Source organism: Homo sapiens, chromosome 14 (genome assembly GCF_000001405.40).
Source record: "Homo sapiens chromosome 14, GRCh38.p14 Primary Assembly".
Classification (NCBI taxonomy): Eukaryota; Metazoa; Chordata; class Mammalia; order Primates; family Hominidae; genus Homo; species Homo sapiens.
The window spans coordinates 100740186-100758367 of NC_000014.9; the positions used below are offsets into that span (position 1 = coordinate 100740186).

General features: G+C 45.0%; 1 annotated feature.

The window, feature by feature from the left end:
• Positions 14951 to 16150: an enhancer, noted in NCBI's record as "CDK7 strongly-dependent group 2 enhancer chr14:101221473-101222672 (GRCh37/hg19 assembly coordinates)". NCBI's record gives its function as "activates an origin of replication core promoter dependent on BRD2, BRD4, P300/CBP, MED14 and CDK7 cofactors, with strong dependence on CDK7, by STARR-seq in HCT116 cells {active_cell/tissue: HCT116}" and the evidence as "EXISTENCE:reporter gene assay evidence [ECO:0000049][PMID:35650434]".

An 18182-nucleotide genomic window follows, 5' to 3' on the forward strand; every position in this document is an offset into this window, starting at 1 on the left:
CTTGTGCCTCAGCTGGGCGCCACGATGCCCAGCTAATTTTTGTATTTCCAGTAGAGATGGGGTTTTGCCATGTTGCCCAAGCTGGTCTCGAACTCCTGACCTCAGGTAATCCGCCTGCCTCAGCCTCCCAAAGTGCTGGGATTACAGATGGGAGCCACCATGTGTGGCCTGCAGCCAGGTTTTTGTTTTTTTTTTTTTTAATGTGTGATCATGTGTAGCATTTTCTAGAAAAGCAGGTTTAATTTAACATTAGGACATGCAGCAGTTGTGTTGAGCCTGGAGTGGTCGTAGAAGGAGGGGAGAATGATGGTCACCTAGAGTCCCTACTAGACAACCCTGGAGCCAGGCTTGGACCTGGGAGAGGAAACCCCGATTATAGGCCCAGTGGCCAAAAAGAGCCCAGGGGTGGGGATGGTCCAGAGGCAGAGGGCGGGCTTGGGGCCTGAGGGATTACTGCTGTGAGCAGCCTTTGCACAGTGCTCTGGGCTAGGGAGCAGCATCAGAAAAATCCCCAGTGAACTCCACGTAGAGGAAGAGGCCCCGTGCAGCACCTGGAGCAGGTGCATGGAAGGTTCCTGAAGGAGATCTGAGAAGGAGGGAGTAGGGAGGGGCTGTGGAGACTGGGGATAAGACAGAGAGGGGGCTCTGTGGGCAGCCTATGTGGTCAGGACCCAGTCCAGGACCCTGACACAGGCTAACAGCTGGGCAGCTTAAGGAAGGAGCTCAACTAACTGGGCCCCTGGGCCTGGAGGTGATAGGCTTTGGGTCTTAGGCCCTGTGGCTTTCTTTCTTCAGTGACTCTCTCCCACAGCTGAGAAAGAAGAAAGCCTTAGCTCTCCACGTCACCCAGCCAAGACCCTCACTCAGTGAATCCCACATATCCTGTTCACAGGAAGGAGAGGGCCCAGCCCCGACTCACAGCTGGGGAGGAGACATGAAGATCCCAGCTCACTCAGACTGGCCGGTGGCTCAGCTGCACCCGGAAGTGCGTCTGGCTGTGGTCACTGGGGCGCCATGGCCATGACAAAGATGCGAACACTGGAGTTGACCAAATTTCAACTTCAGCACAGGTCATAGGAAAAAATATATGATACCAATGCAATAGGTTCCAGAAGGAATCTGATAAAATCAAAATAAATCCCAGCAAACTAGGAAACAAGTACATATCTCCTTAATGTCAGAAAGAACATCTGTCTTAAACTAATGTTTACTATCCTATCAGTCAGTAAAACCGAAAGGCAAGTAAGGCCATGGGTTATACAGCAGTTAAGGGCACTGGCTTTACCTTTTGGCTCTGTCCCTTGGGCCCATAATATCTTCATGTTTGCTTCCTCACCTGCAAATGAGTAGTCATGGAGAGCAATGAGTATCACTGTTGCTCTAGGACTTCTAGCCCATGTAATAAGACAAGAAAAAGCAAAACATGGAAAGGAGACTAAATGATGATGATGATTGTCTACCAAAAACCTCAAGAGAATGACCTGAAGGAAAAATATGAGAAGTCAGTTAGTAGGACACATATGCTACCTATACAAAAACCTAAATATCAATAGCAACTCATTGCTAAAAAAATAAGGATTTGAGTAATTAAAATTTACTATTATAAAGTTGTCAATTATCCCCAACATTAATTTATAAAAGTTTAATGCTATCTATTTGCATTAGGTCCTTAGACAATAGAATTCTGAAGTTTATCTGAACAAATAAGATAAAGAGAACAAGCAAGGAAAAAAAGTAACCAAGGGGCAACTTGCACCATTGGATTTTAAAACAGAGAACTAAAAAAAAAATTGTGTGTCTCAGGACTGATACAGAGTTAATATTGGTTTTCTAGGAATGAGGGGATAAATGAAGGAATGCAAGAGTGATAGCTTTTGAAGTCATCTAGATCCTCTGCTTCAACTACTTATTTACAAATGTGGAAACTGAAACCAAAAGAATGACCAGCCTAAGCTTCCCAACTGAGGACATTTTTTCCCCCCAGGAGACATTTGGCAATGTCTGGAGACATTTTTCTTTTTTCTTTCTTTCTTTTTTTTTTGACATGGAGTCAAAAACTCCATGACACAGAGTCAGAGACTCGCTCTGTCACCCAGGCTGGAGTGTAGTGGCATGATCTCAGCTCACTGCAACCTCCACCTCCTGGGTTTGAGTGATTCTCCCGCCTCGGCCTTTCAAGTAGCTGGGATTACAGGCACACGCCATCATGCCCGGCTAATTTTTGTATTTTTTAGTAGAGATGGGGTTTCGCCATGTTGGCCAGGCTGGTCTTGAACTCCTGACCTCAAGTGATCTGCCCACCTCAGCCTCCCAGAGTGCTAGGATTACAGGCGTGAGCCACCACGCCCATCCTTGGAGACATTTTTCATTGTAAAAACTGGGTGGCATCCAAAGGATAGAGGCCGGGGATGCTGCTAACCAGCCTGCAAAGCACAGGACGTCTCTGCAACAAAGAATTATTTGGCCCCAAATGTCAGTAATGCCCAGGTTGCAAAACCCTGGTGTAAGGTGGGTGATAGGGCAGCAGTGGAGCCATTAAGAACAACCGTACACAACTGTGTCAGGCTCTGTGCCAAGTACTCCAAATGCATAATCTCAGGCAGTTCATTCAATAACCTACGGGGTGAATAATATCATCTTCTACTGTTACCGATGATGAAATTGAGGCTCAGAGAAGTGAAACGCATGTTCACGCTCACCTGGCTAGAGAGTGGTAGGGCTGAGCCCAGTGTCCAGACCTCTAGAAGGTACATGCCAATTTTCTCTCCACTACCTGACGCTGCCTTCTGATTTTTAAACATACCTTATTCCAAATTTTCTTAGAATTAGCAACCGTGCTTCACTGGGAGCTTCAGGGAAACAGACCATCTCAGGCCGCATCACTTCCGGCAGGTCACCAGTAAGAATCCCAGGAGAATGAGGTTGCATCCTTGGCCACTTCAGGGTGGAGCTTCTGTGAGTACTTCCTTTTCCATCCATCCACTCACTGTGGAGTAACCCACTCTACCCCGAATGCCCCCATCCCCTGCCTAGGGGAGTTAAGATGTCACTTTGCCAAGCTGAAGATAAGGATGGAATCAAGACCCTTTGCTGCAATTAATATCAATCATAACAATACCCAGTTTTGTTTTGTTTTTTTGAGATGAGATCTGGCTCTGTCACCCAGGCTGGAGTACAGTGGCTCCATCACAGCTCACTGCAACCTCCACTTTCCAGGCTCAGGTGATCCTCCTCACCTCAGTCTCCCCAGTAGCTGGGACTACAGGTGCATGCCACCACATGTGGCTAATTTTTGTATTTTTTGTAGAGACAGGGTTTCACTATGTTGTCCAAGCTGGTCTCAAACTCGCAGGCTCAAGCAATCCACCTGCCTTGGCCTCCCAAAGTGCTGGGATTACAACCACGAGCCACCGCACCTGGCCCCAGTATTTTTTTTAATGCCAAGGCACTGCAGTTAGCATTTTGTTTTTATTTTATTTTATTTATTTTTGAGACGGAGTCTCGTTCTGTCACCCAGGCTGGAGTGCAGTGGTGTGATCTTGGCTCACTGCAAGCTCCTCCTCCTGGGTCCACGCCGTTCTCCTGCCTCAGCCTCCCGAGAAGCTGGGACTACAGGCGCCCGCCACCATGCCCGGCTAACGTTTTGTATTTTCCGCAGAGAAGGGGTTTCACCGCGTTAGCCAGGATGGTCTCCATCTCCTGACCTCATGATCCGCCCGCCTCAGCCTCCCAAAGTGCTGGGATTACAGGCATGAGCCACTGTGTGCCGCCAGCACTTTATTTTTATCTTTTCAGACTTTTCAGGGATTATTAGGTACTGGCTCTGAATTAACACACTGATTTCTGAAGACCTAAAGCATCACTGTGGTCCAGCAGTCAGAAAAGGGGCTTTTGGAAGTCATCAGTGAAGTGAGCAATAGAGTTTTATTCCGATCTCTCTCACCATGGGCCTGGTGGGTCCCTAAACCCACCCTGTGGTTGTCTCCCCAGCTCTAGAATTCAAAATTAGGATAGACACACTCAACAGCTGGCAGAATCTTCACATTGACTCTTTAACCCATGGAGTGGGGGCTATTATGATAGGAAAGGCCAAATGGAAGAAGCTACTAGAACTGCTCGACCTATGAAAATAGTACACCGGAAGTAATACTGTATTCTTGGAGGGATGGCAGAGATTAGTGCCCTCATCAAGGAACCTGAAAAATGAAAGGGTGGTGATTCCTGTAATATCTTCATCCAACCCACCTATTTGGGCTGAGTAGAAAACAGATGGATCATAGAGAAATTAGAGTCAATTATTATACATTTAATCAGATGGCAATTCTAATTTGCAGCTGCTGTTCCAGATGTGGTTCCGTTGCTGGAGCAAATCAACACATCATCAGACACTGGGAAGGCAGCTGTTGAGTTGGTGGGTGTCTCTTTTTCTCTATACCTGTTAGTAAAGAGCAGCAAAATAAGTTTGCTTCCCAGTTGTATTGTTGGTAAGGCCAGCAGCTCATCATCACCATCCTACCTGAGGGGCAAACCATCTCTCCAACTCTATGGCATAATCTACTCCCCAGGAACTTTGATTGTCTTTCCTTTATGAGAGCATCACACTGCTTCATTTCTTTGAAGTTATTCTGCCGACTGGACCTGGTTAGCAGGACGCATTGGTAAGACACTTGCATGCCAGAGGGTGGGAAATAAATCTCACAAAAATTCGGGGACTTCCCAGCTTAGGGAAAATTCTAGGAGTCCAGTAGTTTTGGAGCATGTTGAAAGATTCTTTCCAAGGTGAAAGGAAAGTTGCTTCATCTGGTATCTCCTATCGGCATGAAAGAGACACAGCTTCCAGTGCAGCTCTCTGGATTTCGGAGGCGGCATATACATAGCCATGCATCGCAGGATGATGTCTCCATCAGCCACAGACTGTGCATATGAAGGTGGTCCCATAAGATTAGAATGGAGCTGAAACGTTCTCTTGCCTAGTGACATCATAGCTGTTGTAATGAGGTGGTGCTGTAATGCATTACTCGCATGTTTGTGTGATGTTTGTGTAAACAAACCTACTGCACCGTCAGTTCTATCAGTCTACCACATGCAGCTATGGACGGTACAAAATACTTGATAATGAGAATAAATAACTATGTTATGGGTTTATGCATTTACTCTATTATACTTCAATTTTTATTTATTTATTTTTCCCGAGACTGAGTCTTGCTCTGTCACCCAGGCTGGAGTATAGTGGCACGATTTTGGCTCACTGCAACCTCCACCTCCCAGGTTCAAGCGATTCTCCTGCTTCAGCCTCTCCAGTAGCTGGGATTACAGGTGACCGCCACTGTGCCCAGCTAATTTTTTGTGTTTTTAGTAAAGACGGGGTTTCATCATGTTGGCCAAGCTGGTCACAAACTCCTGACCTCATGATCCTCTCAACTTGGCCTCCCAAAGTGTTGGGATTACAGGCATGAGGCACCACACCCGGCTCTATTATACTTTTAACTGTTTAGAGTGTACTACTTTTACTTATAAAAAAACAAAGTGGGGCCAGGCACAGTGGCTCAATCCTGTAATCCCAGCACTTTGGGAGGCCAAGGTGGGCAGATCATGAGGTCAGGAGATCGAGACCAGCCTGGCTAACACGGTGAAACCCCGTCTCTACTAAAAATACAAAAAATTAGCTGGACATGGTGGCGTGCACCTGTAGTCCCAGCTACTTGGGAGGCTGAGGCAGGAGGATCGCTTGAACCCAGGAGGTGGAGGTTGCAGTGTGCCGAGATCACACCATTGCACTCAAGTCTGGGTGACACAGCGAGATTCCATCTCAAAAAAAAACACAAAACAACAACAAAACAAAAAACAAAAAACAAAAAACAAAGTGAACGGTGAAACATCCTCAGGCAGGTCCTTCAGGAGGCATCCAGAAGAAGGCATGGTTATCACAGGAGATGGCAGCTCCATGCTTTCCGCCCCTGAGGATCTTCCAGAGGGAAAAGCTGCGGAGGTGGAAGGCAGTGATACTGATGATCCCGACCGTGGGTAGTCCTAGGCTTATGTGTGTGTTTGGGTTTTAGTTTTTAAGAAAAAAGTTTAAAAAGTAAGAAAAAATTTAATAGAAAAAAGCTTATAGAATAAGGATATAAAGAAAGAAATATTTTTGTACAGCTATACAATGTTTGTGTTTCAAGCTAAGTGTTAGTACTAAAGAGTCAAGAAGTTAAAAGTGACTAAAATGTTTACAAAGTTAAAGAGTTACAGTAAGCTAAGGCTGATTTATTATTGAAGGAAAAAAGCATTTTAAAATAAATTTAGTGTGGCCTAAGTGCTCAGTGTGTATAAAGTCTACAGTAGTGTGCAGGAATGTCCTAGGCCTTCCCATTCACTCACCCAGAGCAACTTCCAGTGCTGCAAGCTCCACTTATGGTAAGTGCTCTAGACAGGTGGACCAGGTTTTATTTAATTTAATTTAATTTATTTATTTATTTATTTATTTATTTATTTATTTACTTACTTAATTAGAGACAGGGTCTTGCTCTGTTGTTGCCCAGGCTGGAATGCAGTGGCGTGATCTTGGCTCACTGCAACCTCCACCTCCCAGGTTCAAGTGATTCTCCTGTCTCAGCCTCCCGAGTAGCTGGGATTACAGGCATGTACCACCAGGCCTGGCTAATTTTTGTATTTTTAATAGAGGTGGGGTTTCGCCAAGTTGGCCAGGCTGGTCTCAAACTTCTGACGTCAGGTGATCCACCCGCCTCGGCCTCCCAAAGTGCTGGGATTACAGGCATAAGCCACCCCGCCTGGCCAGTTTTTATTTTTTTATACTGTATTTTTACTGTACCTTTTCTATGTTTAGATACACAGATACTTACATTTTGTTACAATTGCCTGTAGTGGTCAGTACAGTCACATGCAGTACAGGTCTGTAGCCTAGGAGCAATAGACCATACCACCTCGCTCCGGTGTGCAGTAGGCTGTACCATTTAAGTGTCTGTGAGTACACTCTATGATGTTTGCACAACAACGCAATTGCCTAATGATGCGTTTCTCAGAACATACCTCTTTGATTAAGTGAGGTATGACTGTGCTTGGGCGTGCTATTCTGACTCATTTACTGAGTGATGTGAAAATCTGCCAATTTTGAGAGAGACCCAGAACAAGAGAAGGCTGCACAGCAGATCCAGGCTGCCGTGCCAGTGGCTCTGCCTCTTGGGCCATATGAACCAGCAGATCCAGTGGTGTCTGCAGTGTCAGAGGCACTTCCCTGGGGAGTTGTTCCGAGCTTTTGGCACCCCCTCCCAGGTGAATCACAGCACAGACCATTCACATTTTGGAGTGAGGTGCTGCCCTCCTTTGTGGAGAACCACTCTCCGCTCGGGTGTCATTGAGAAACCACTTTTGACTTGCTCCTGGGCTTCCACAGAGATTGAACTCTTTTTTTTTTTTTTTTTTTTTAAGACAAAGTCTTGCTCTGTTTCCCAGGCTGGAGTGCGGTAGCGTGATCACAGCTCACTGCAACCAACTCCCCGGTTCAAGCAATTCTCCTACCTCAGCCTTCCAAGTAGCTGGGATTACAGGTTCCCAACACCACGCCTGGCTAATTTTTGTATTTTTAGTAGGGATGAGGTTTCACCATGTTGGCCAGGCTGGTCTTGAACTCCTGACCTCAGGTGATGTCCCCATCTTGGCCTCCCAAAGTGCTGGGATTACAGACATGAGCCAGTGCGTCCGGCTGAGAATGAGCTCTTGACCATGGGCAGCCAAGTTACTAGGTGACCCGAGACACTCACTGTGGACTAAGTACAGTCAGACCCACACAGCCAAAAGGTTGGTCGTGCACAGTGGTACTCCTGTGTCGCATGGAAACGAATGTATAGGCTCAGGCTGGAGCAAATGCTTTAGGCAAAAGCAAGTTGAGTGAGAAGCAACTCAAGGCCCTGCGTGGTGGCTCACTCCTGTAATCCCAGCACTTTGGGAGGCCAAGGTAGGTGGATCATCTGAGGTCAGGAGTACGAGACCAGCCTGGGCAACATGGTGAAACCCCAACTCTACTAAAAGAAGAATTAGCCGGGCGTGGTGGTGGGCGCCTGTAATCCCAGCTACTCAGGAGGCTGCGGCAGGAGAATCACTTGAACCTGGAAGGCAGAGGTTGCGGTGAGCTGAGATAGCACCACTGCACTCCAGCTTGGGTGACAGAGTGAGACTTTGTCTCAAAAAAGGGGGAAAAAAAAAAAGAAGAAGAAGTGACTCTGATACTCTGAAGCTTGCAGCCCCTATTCTCAGCTGTGCCACCTTCTCTCTATCAATCTGTATTGATGGCCTCAGGGGAGGTCCCCATGATCAGGTCACTGAGGAAGGCATTTCCATCCTGGTTTATAGATGGTTCTGTGTGACACACAGATACTACCCCAGCGCAGACAGCTGCAACAGGTGGCCCCGCTCTGAAATGGCCCTGAAGGCCTGTGGTGAGGGGACATCCTACCAATTCGCAGAATCTGGGTTGTTCATTTTGTTGGAAAAGAGAGCTGGCCAGAGATACGGGTCTGTATTGATTTGTGGGCTCTGGCTAATGGTTTGGCTAAGCGGTTAGAGAACTGGAATTGGAATACAATTGAGAAACCAGTGAGAAGAAGGTCTGAGGAAGTGGGTAAGTGGATAGACCTCTCCAAATCAGCATAGAGTGTGAAGATATTTGTGTCTCATGCGAAAGTTCAGTGAAAGTCATCAAAGGGTGATCTCAGCAGAGGAAGATTTTATTAACCAGGTGGATGGGATGACCTGTTTTGGGGATGGCAGTCTCCTCTCTGGCCTATGCTTGGGTTTGTCATATAGGCTCCTGAGCAAAGCAGGAAGGAGTGGAGGTTGCACACTCTCAGCCACGTCTGCTTCCATTGCACAAAGCCAATCATCTACAGCCACTGCTGAGAGCCCGATGGGCCACCAGCAGAGACCGGCACTGAATCCTGCCATGGTCCGCTTCCCAGGGACCGGCCAGCCACCTAGAGGCAGACGACTGCACTGGGCCACTTCATCATGGAAAGGGGTAGCACTTTGTTCTCGCTGGAATAGATATTGACTCTGGATGAAATTTGCCTTCCCTGCCCTCAATGCTTCTGCCAAAATGTACACACATGGGCCTACCAAGTCCTTTCGGCATTGACACAGCAATGACTACCTTGAGCTTGTCTCAGTCCATTTAGCATTCCCATGAGGACTATGAGAGACTGGATAATTTATAAAGCAAGAGATTTATTTGGCTCATAATTCTGCACACCATACAAGAAGCATGGTGCTGGCCAGGCACGGTGGCTCAAGCCTATAATCCCAACACTCTGGGAAGCTGAGGTGGGTGGATCACCTGAGGTCAGGAGTTCGAGATCAGCCTGGCCAACATGGCGAAACCCTCCCTTTACTAAAAATACAAAAATTAGCTGGACGTGGTGGCATGTGCCTGTAATCCCAGCTACTCAGGAGGCTGAGAGGCAGGAGAATCACTTGAACCCGGGGGGCGGAGGTTGCAGTGAGCCGAGATTGCACCACTGCACTCCAGCCTGGGAGACAGAGCAAGACTCCACCTCAAAAAAAATAAATAAATAAAAATAGAAGCATGGTGCTGGCACCTGCATCTGATGAGGGCCTCATGGTTCTTCCACTCCTGGTGGAAGGTGAGGAGGAGCCAGCATATGCAGAGATCACATAGCAGCAAGTAAGGCAGAAGGAAGGTGCCAGCCAGGTGTGGTGGCTCACGCCTATAATCCCAGCACTTTGGGAGGTCAAGGTGGGAGGTTCACTTGACCCCAGGACTTTAAGACCAGCCTGGGCAACATGGTGAAACTTCGTCTTTATAAAAAAAAAAAAAAAAAAAATTCAGCCAGGCATGGGAGCTGTGCCTGTGGTTCCTGCTACTTGGGAGGCTGAGGCAGGAGGATCGCCTGAGCTGGGGAGATTGAAGCAGCAGTGAGGTGAGCCGTGATCACGCCACTGCACCCCAGCCTGGGCAACAGAGCAAGACACTCTCTCAAAAGAATGAAAAATAAAATAAAAAATAAAAAAGAAGGAGGGTGCCAGGCTCTTTTCAACCGCCAGTTCCCGTGGAAACTAAGAGCCTGTTCATGAGGGATCTGCTCCTCTGAGCAAAACACCCCCCCACCAGGCCTCCACGGCTAACACCCAGGGCCAAATTTCAAGAAGAGACTTGATGGAGCCAAACAAACCCTATGCAAACTATAGCAAAGCTGGATGTTGAAACTGCCATCCGGTCACTTTGAGCTCCTCATACTGCTGAGTCAACAAGCGAAGAAGGGGGGTCACTGTACTGGCTGGGGTGATTGATCCTGATCAATCCCGATCAAGGAGAGATTGGATTGCCAATGCACCCATGAATTGCAGGAGACCCTTGGGTGTTTTCTATTCCTCCCCTGCCCTGTGATTAAAACCAATGAAAATCTTTACCAGCCCAATTCAGGCAGAACCTCCAATGGCCCAAAGTCTTCATGAATCAATGCTTGGGGCACTCTACAAAGCAAAAAACCATGAGTAGCTGGAATGCTCGCTAAAGCCAAAGGGAATATGAAATGGCCATTGGAAGGAGTTAGTTATCAATGCCTGTTAGGACGATGTAACCAGTGGCAGAAATGAGGACTGTAATAACCATGGGTCTTTCTTCCTTATTTTGAATATGTTTATATGTATGTGTATTTTTTGTTTTCTTTTCTTATCTCATCATCTAGCATAAGATGCGGAACCAGTAGTTAGCTTCGTATCTCAGTATCTAGGCTGCAGAATTTAAAACAGGCAGTGTGAGTGAGCTAGAAGAATCAACCTTGTCCAAAGGGGAAAAAAGGACTTTCTATCCTCTTCTGGGGAAAGGTTAGTGTATTTGTAGGTATAGGCAGGGCTGTTGTGTAATGTGTAGCTGTAAGATAGTTGTGTAATCCAGAAGGATGACTTTGTGAGTCTCATTCATACTTTGGAGAGGAGATGGGGCCTGGGTGTCAAGTTGACAAGAGGTGGACTTTGGTGTATGGGTAATGTATCAGCTTAGCGAGGCTGAGTTATGTTACCCAGAACTTCCTTTCCTGTGTATTTTTGGTGAGAGTGGGCCACAGTATTGACTCCGGGGAGACTGAGAAGGCAGGGTGAAGGAACAGCCGTTGTGTAACTCACCTATGAGGTTGCTGATATTCCGATCACCTCATTGACATGAGACTGGCTGGGCCCATGGCTGCACCACACCCCCGGATCCTCCTTCTGCTTCCCTGGCTCCTGGGCCAGGCATGTGTGTTTCGCTCTGCGATGAAAGCCCTGGGATCCTGTGGGCTACTCATACCAATTTTAGAGGCAAAAAGAATTGAGCCGGGTGTGCTTGTCCTTGTGGGGCCCGCTCTGCTATGGACCCCGGCTCGCTCTCGATCTGCCCACTTTACATTTCTCTTGCCTTCCCCACTGCCTTCTGTTCTCCGAGCTCCAGCCTCGGATGCAAAGACAACAGACTTACAGAGACTGCCTAGCCAGGCCCCACAGTTGTGTGAGGTCAACTCCCTGCAATGGATCCCTTTCTCTCCCTCTCTGTCTGAGTGGCTCGGCTCCGCTGATGGGGTCCTGGCTTGTACAGTTTCCAAGCCATGGCTCTCAACTACTATGTGACTCAAACCCACCATTGCAGTGGGTGTTGGAAGAGACCAGTGCGACAAGACACATGCGAAAGGGTTTTCACCTTCGTTCACTTAGGAAATGCGTCCCAGCCTCTTCTAGGAGCAGTGCCCAATGTGGGTACTGCGGACACATCAGACTCAGTCCCTCATTTGAAGTTGTTTCCAGCTTAGGCCTTGTAAATTCTATATAATTGTCAGAAGTTATTATAAAAATCCCAGAGGTGGCAGTTCTTCTGCAAGCAACATTTTTCATCATTGGTATACAATGATGAGACATTGGCATACAAAAAGATTTAATTACCTATTCATAAAACAGTTGCCCTCAATTTTAGCATCTGTCAATTAGACTTTTTTGTGTGTGCCACCCTTTTCTCCCTGTCTGCTGCCAGAAAAATAGAGGAGGAGGATTCATTCATGTTAATTGTTGGGCTTAATTATGGTTTTTTTTTTTTTTTTTTGAGAAAGGGCTTCATTCTGTTGTCCAGGCTAGAGCGCAGTGGCACGATCATAACTTACTGCAGCCTCAAACTTCTGGGCTCAAGTGATCTTGTCTCAGCCTCCTGAGTAGCTAGGACTACAGGTGTGTGCCGCCATACCTGGCTAATGTTTAAAATTTCTTTCTATTTTTTTTTTTTGTAGAGGCAGAGGTCTAATTATGTTGCCCGGGCTGGTCTCAAACTCCTGGCCTCAAGGGATCCTCTTGCCTCAACCTCCAAGTAGCTGGCACAACAAGTGTGTGCCACCACGCCTGACTAATTTTTACATTTTTTGTAGAGATGAGTTATCGCTGTGTTGCCTGGGCTTAATTATGCATGATTGAAACAAGAGAGTGAGATACCAATTGTTGCAGGTGGGGTTCCCCTGGAAGTATACACTGAGTGGAAATTTATGTACAAGAGATTTTTTGAGAAATGTTCTCCTGATCAACACCTCCCGAGGAGGGTGGGGGTGAAGGAACCAAGAAGGGCGGTGGGATGAGTTTAATTGCTCTGCAGTTGCGACAAAGTCTCAGACAATCCCCATGGAGCTTTAGACATCCTCTCAGAGTTGTCCCACATTGGGGTGGGGGTTGGGGAGGAGTCTTTGTATCTCCATATTGACCTATCTTTGGATATGGATTGCCACAGGAGAGGGCCTTTGACCGTGGGCAGTGAGGCTTTCTTCAGCCAAAGGCATGGCACCAGGGAGAGGTGGACCCAGCTGAGTGCTGTCAGCCACCAACCATTCCAGCAGCTGGGGAAATTAATGCTTCAGTCCCAAATAGCACAGGTTACAGTCCACACCTCATGCCACTTGACTCCCCTTATTTCATATGATAATTCCTGAGAGCGACTCCTCCTGGATTCTATGGGCCTCTTTTCCTGGGGACAAGTTGCGAGAGGAGCATTGCTGGGATGAACCGACTGCCCCGACCACAGCAGCTGATCTTTAGGCCGTGACTGATGCTCATTGTCTCCCACCTCCACCACCCATTCCAGGTTTTTCTCATCCCATTGTAGTACCTGTAATGATCTAGGCGGCTCATAGGGTTGAGTGACTCAGACCCTCATTTCTGAGGGGTCTGAAACCTTCGTCACCATGCACTGGCTTTGGTCATGACTGTGGCACTTGCCCACTTATGATCAAATTGGGCCAAACTGTGCCAAGAAATGCCCAGAAAATAACCTGGGTGCCAAATGTGTTCCTTCCTGGCTCCATAATGTAATAGAAACCCTATCTCTTTCTGATGATCAGGGTTGATTTCTCCTGCCAGAATGGTGACCCCTTTCCTTGCCTACTGGTCTCTTGATAGGAGGAGCCTGAAGTGACTGGCAGTAGTGGAGCTTAAAGTTAAATGGGGAGAAAGGTGGAAGGAGGACCACAGCAAATCCTGTCCCTATAAGAACAATGATAAAATTGGACAAAATTGCCAAAAACAACCATTTCGGAACTCTGGACATTAACCAAAGACAAATAACAAATGGAAAGACATTTATTTAATAAAAACAGCTGAGCCTTTGTTGACAGTGGCGGGGTCTGTGCCATTTCAACACAGGGCTGCTCCCACCCACCTCTCTCTGAACTCTGTGGTGTGGCAACCATAAACCCAGAAGTCTTGCTGCTGCTAGAGGGGGCTGATCTAATTTGGAGCTCCATAGAAAAGCACAATGTCCAGAAACACTGTCAAAACAGAGGCCATCTCTATAGCAGACAATCAAAGAAGGCCAATGTCACAGCTACCTAAGTCTGTGACACTGACTTGGGAAAGCAGCAACCAGCCAAAAATTTACAAGAAAGAGCTGGGAAATAAGACAACCATAGGGGCTTTGATAAACCTGACACATTTCTAAGAATCTGGAATGCTGTGCACTTGCCCAAGGTGTAGGAATGTGCAGGAGAGAGTGGAGAGGGCCCAGTTATCTGTTTGTTCCTGGCTGACCACGAGGCCCTGCACAAACAGCAAGTGAAGGTGGGCACACTTGTAAACTGCCTGCCCTCTGAGTGTGTGCCTCACCACACCAAAGGGCAGAAATCTTACTGGCTGAAGGTGTTTAAGCAAAACCTCTGACCAATCATTGGCTGCCTATTAAGGATGCTTACCCAGATTATGCTTAATCTATAGAAAAGGTTTAAAATGAAGGCAGGAATTAAGCAAACAAACAAATAAGATTTCCATGTTTGCACACTGGAGGGGAGACCGGCTCTAAATAATTTATCCAGGCAAGTCACTAAACACACAAATAAATGCAGCAATAGCCTCTAGGGGAGACAAATCAGAACTCAGATTTGTTATAATATTTATCCAAAGCTTCTAGTTTCCAAAAACATGGTGAAACATACAAATAAATAGAAAAATGTGGTCATACACAGAAAAGAAGCAGTGCATACAAGCTATCTCTGAGCAAGCTCAGATATTGGACTTGGTAGACAATGACTTAAAATAATTTACTATAAACATGTTCAAAGGTCTAAAGGAATCTATGTTTAAATAATTAAAGCAGCTGGGTGTGGTGGTACATGCCTGTAATCCTAGCTCCTCAGGAGGCTGAGGTGGGAGGATCACCTGAGGCCAGGAGTTTGAGACAAGGCTGGAGAACACAGCAAAACCCTATTTCAAAAAAAAAAACAAAAAACAGAAAACAAAGAAATAATGTAAAGTATGAGACAACAATGTCTAACCAACAGAGAAAGTCAACAAAAAGATACAAAGTATTAATGAGAACTATATAGAAACTTTGGAATTGAAAAGTATAATACCTGAAATGAAAATTTACTAGAGGTGCTCGACAGCAGGTTTGAGCTAGAGGAAGAAGGACTCAGCAAACTTGAAGACAAGCAATAGAAACCATTTAGTCTAAAGAACAGAAAGAAAAAAGAACAGAATAAAATGAACAGCACTTCTCAGAGACCTGTGGGACAACATCAAGTGAAAGGGGTAAAACCTTTTTTTTTCTTTTAAAGAATAGCTGAAAATGTCCCAAATTTGCTTAAAAATATTAGTATGTAAATACAATAAGCTTAACAAACTCCAAGTGGAATGTCTTAGTCTGTTTGGACTGCTTTAACAAAATTCCATCAACTAGGTGGCTTAGATACAACAGAAATTTATTTCTTACAGTTCCAGAGACTGGGAAGTCTAAGATCAAGGTGCCAGCAGATTCAGTGTCTTGTGAGGGCTGGCTTTCTGGTTCACAGATGGTGCCTTCTCACTGTGTCCTCACATGGCAGAAGGGGTGAAGAAGCTCTCTTGGGCCTATTTTATAAGGACACTGATCCCATTCACAAAGGCTCTGCCCTCATAGCTTAATCTACAAAAGGCCCACCTCCTACTACCATTGGGGTTAGGATTTCAGCATATGAATTTCAGCATATAAATTTTGTGACACAAACCTTCAGATCATAGCATAGAATAAACTCAAAGAAATCCACACCTAGACACACCATAGGCAAAGACTGTGACTATAACATATGTCATCAAAGACAAAGTCTTCAAGGGAACAACAGTAAAATGACTCATCATGTATAAGAGAACCACAATCAGATTACAGCTAATTTATCTTCAGAAACAATGGAAGCTGGAAGGCAGTAGGATATTCAAAGTGTTGAAAGAAGAAACCAATCAATCAAGAATTTATATCCATCAAAATTATCTTTCAAACCTGAAGGCAAAATAAGGACATCCCAAGATAAACAGACGGGAAGGATTCTTTGCTAGCAGACCTGCCTTACAAAAAATGCTAAAGGAAGTCCTTCAGGCTAAAGAAAATCACATCATACGATAACTTGAATCTCCATGAAGAAATAAAGAGCACTTGTGAAGGTAAATGTAAATGTTAGCATAAATATGTTTTTTTACTTGTTTATTCTCTTAATTGATGTAAAACATAACTGAATAAAGCAATAATTATAAAACTGTATTGTTAGGCTTGTAATATATCAAGATGCATTTTATAAGACAGTATTAGCACAAAGAAATGAGAAAAGAAGGAAGATATATTGGAGCAAAATTTCTATATCTTATTGGAATAAAGTTAGTTTTAATCCCATACAGATTATTTTAAATTAAAGTGCATATTGTAATGTTCAGAATAACTTTTAAGAAAATAAAATTTAAAATATAGTGAAAATAAGGCATTAAAATGGTACACTGTGAAATATCTATTTAACACAAAAGAATGCACTAACAGGAAGAGAGAAGCAAAAGACATCAGAAATATAGAAAACAAATAGCAAAATGTCAGATGTAAATTAAACCATATCAATAATTACACCAAATATAAACACTCAGATCCAAAGACAGATTGTCACATTGTACAAATAGCAAAATGTCAGATGTAAATTAAACCATATCAATAATTACATCAAATATAAGCACTCAAATCAAAAGATAGAGATTGTCAGATTGTACGAAAAACCAGAATCCAACTATATACTATTTACAAAAAAAAGACACTTTATTAGATTCAGAAAATAGGTTGAAAGTAAAAGAATAGAAAAAACATACCAAGAAAACAGTAACTATAAGAGAACTGGGGTGGCTATATATATGTATCTATATATAAATGTATATGTATTTTTTTGAGGTGGAGTCTCGCTCTGTCGCCCAGGCTGGAGTGCAGTGGTGTGATCTCGGCTCACTGCAACCTCCGCCTCCTGGGTTCAAGCGATTCTCCTGCCTCAGCCTCCTGAGGAGCTGGGATTACACATGTGCCACCACACCCGGCTAATTTTTGTATTTTCAGTAGAGACAGGGTTTCACCATGTTGATCAGGCTGGTCTTGAACTCCTGACCTCATGATCCATGAGTGGCTATATTAATATCAGGAAAATAGACCTTTAAGACAAAAAGAAGTTACCAAAAAAAAAAAAAAAAAAAAAAGGAGGAGACGTTTTGTAATGATGAAAGAGTCAGTCAAGAGGACACAAAAATCCTAAACCTTTATGTGCCTAATAAGAGTTTCAAAATACATGAAACAAAAACTGATATAAATACAAAGAGAAATAGATAACTTTCCACTTGTAGAAGATTTCAATACTCCTTTGCTATGGTCCAAAATTCATGTTAAAACTTAATTGCCTAGCCAGGTGCATTGGCTCACGCCTGTAATCCCAGCACTTTGGGAGGCCGAGGTGGGTGGATCACAAGGTCAGGAGATCGAGACCATCCTGGCTAACACGGTGAAACCCCGTCTCTACTAAAAATACAAAAAATTAGCAGGGTGCGGTGGTGGGCGCCTATAGTCCCAGCTACTCGGGAGGCTGAGGCAGGAGAATGGCGCGAACCCGGGAGGTGGAGCCTGCAGTGAGCCGAGATTTCGCCGCTGCACTCCAGCCTGGGCGACAGAGCGAGACTCCATCTCAAAAAAAAAAAAAACCAAAAAAAAAAAAACCCAAACTTAATTGCCAATGGGATATTAAGAGGTGGATCCTGTAGGCGGTGATTAAATCATGGGAGTGGAGCTGTTAGGAATGGGATTAGTGACCTTATGAAAAAGAGGCTGCCCCTTTGGCCATGTGAGGATCCTCCAGCCCACCGGAGAGGATGCCACCTATGGAACAGGCCCTTGACAGACACCAAATCTGTGGCTCCGTAATCTTGGACTTCCCAGCCTCCAAAACTGTGAGAAACAAATTTCTATTGTTTATAAATTACCCTGTCTAAGGTATTTTGTTAATAGGGCAGGTATACAGAAAATTAGTAAGGTTATAGAAGCCTTGAACCACCCTATCAATCAACTTCCCCAAACCAATCTCTATAGAACACTCCACTCAGCAGCAGCAGAACAGCCACTCTTTCCAAGGGTACATGATACATTCTCCAGGGTGGACCAAAGTCTAGGTCACAAAACATGTCTCAGCAAATTAAAAAAGATGAAATCATAAAAAGTATGTGCTTTAATCACAACGGAATTAAATGAGAAAACAACAACAGAAAGAAATTTAGGGAATCCAAAGTATTTTGAACTGAATGAGAACAAAAACATGACATGTCAACATTTCTTGATTCGGCTAATGGAGTGCTTAAAAGAGAATACACAGTCTATGTTAGGAAAGAAGGAGGATCTC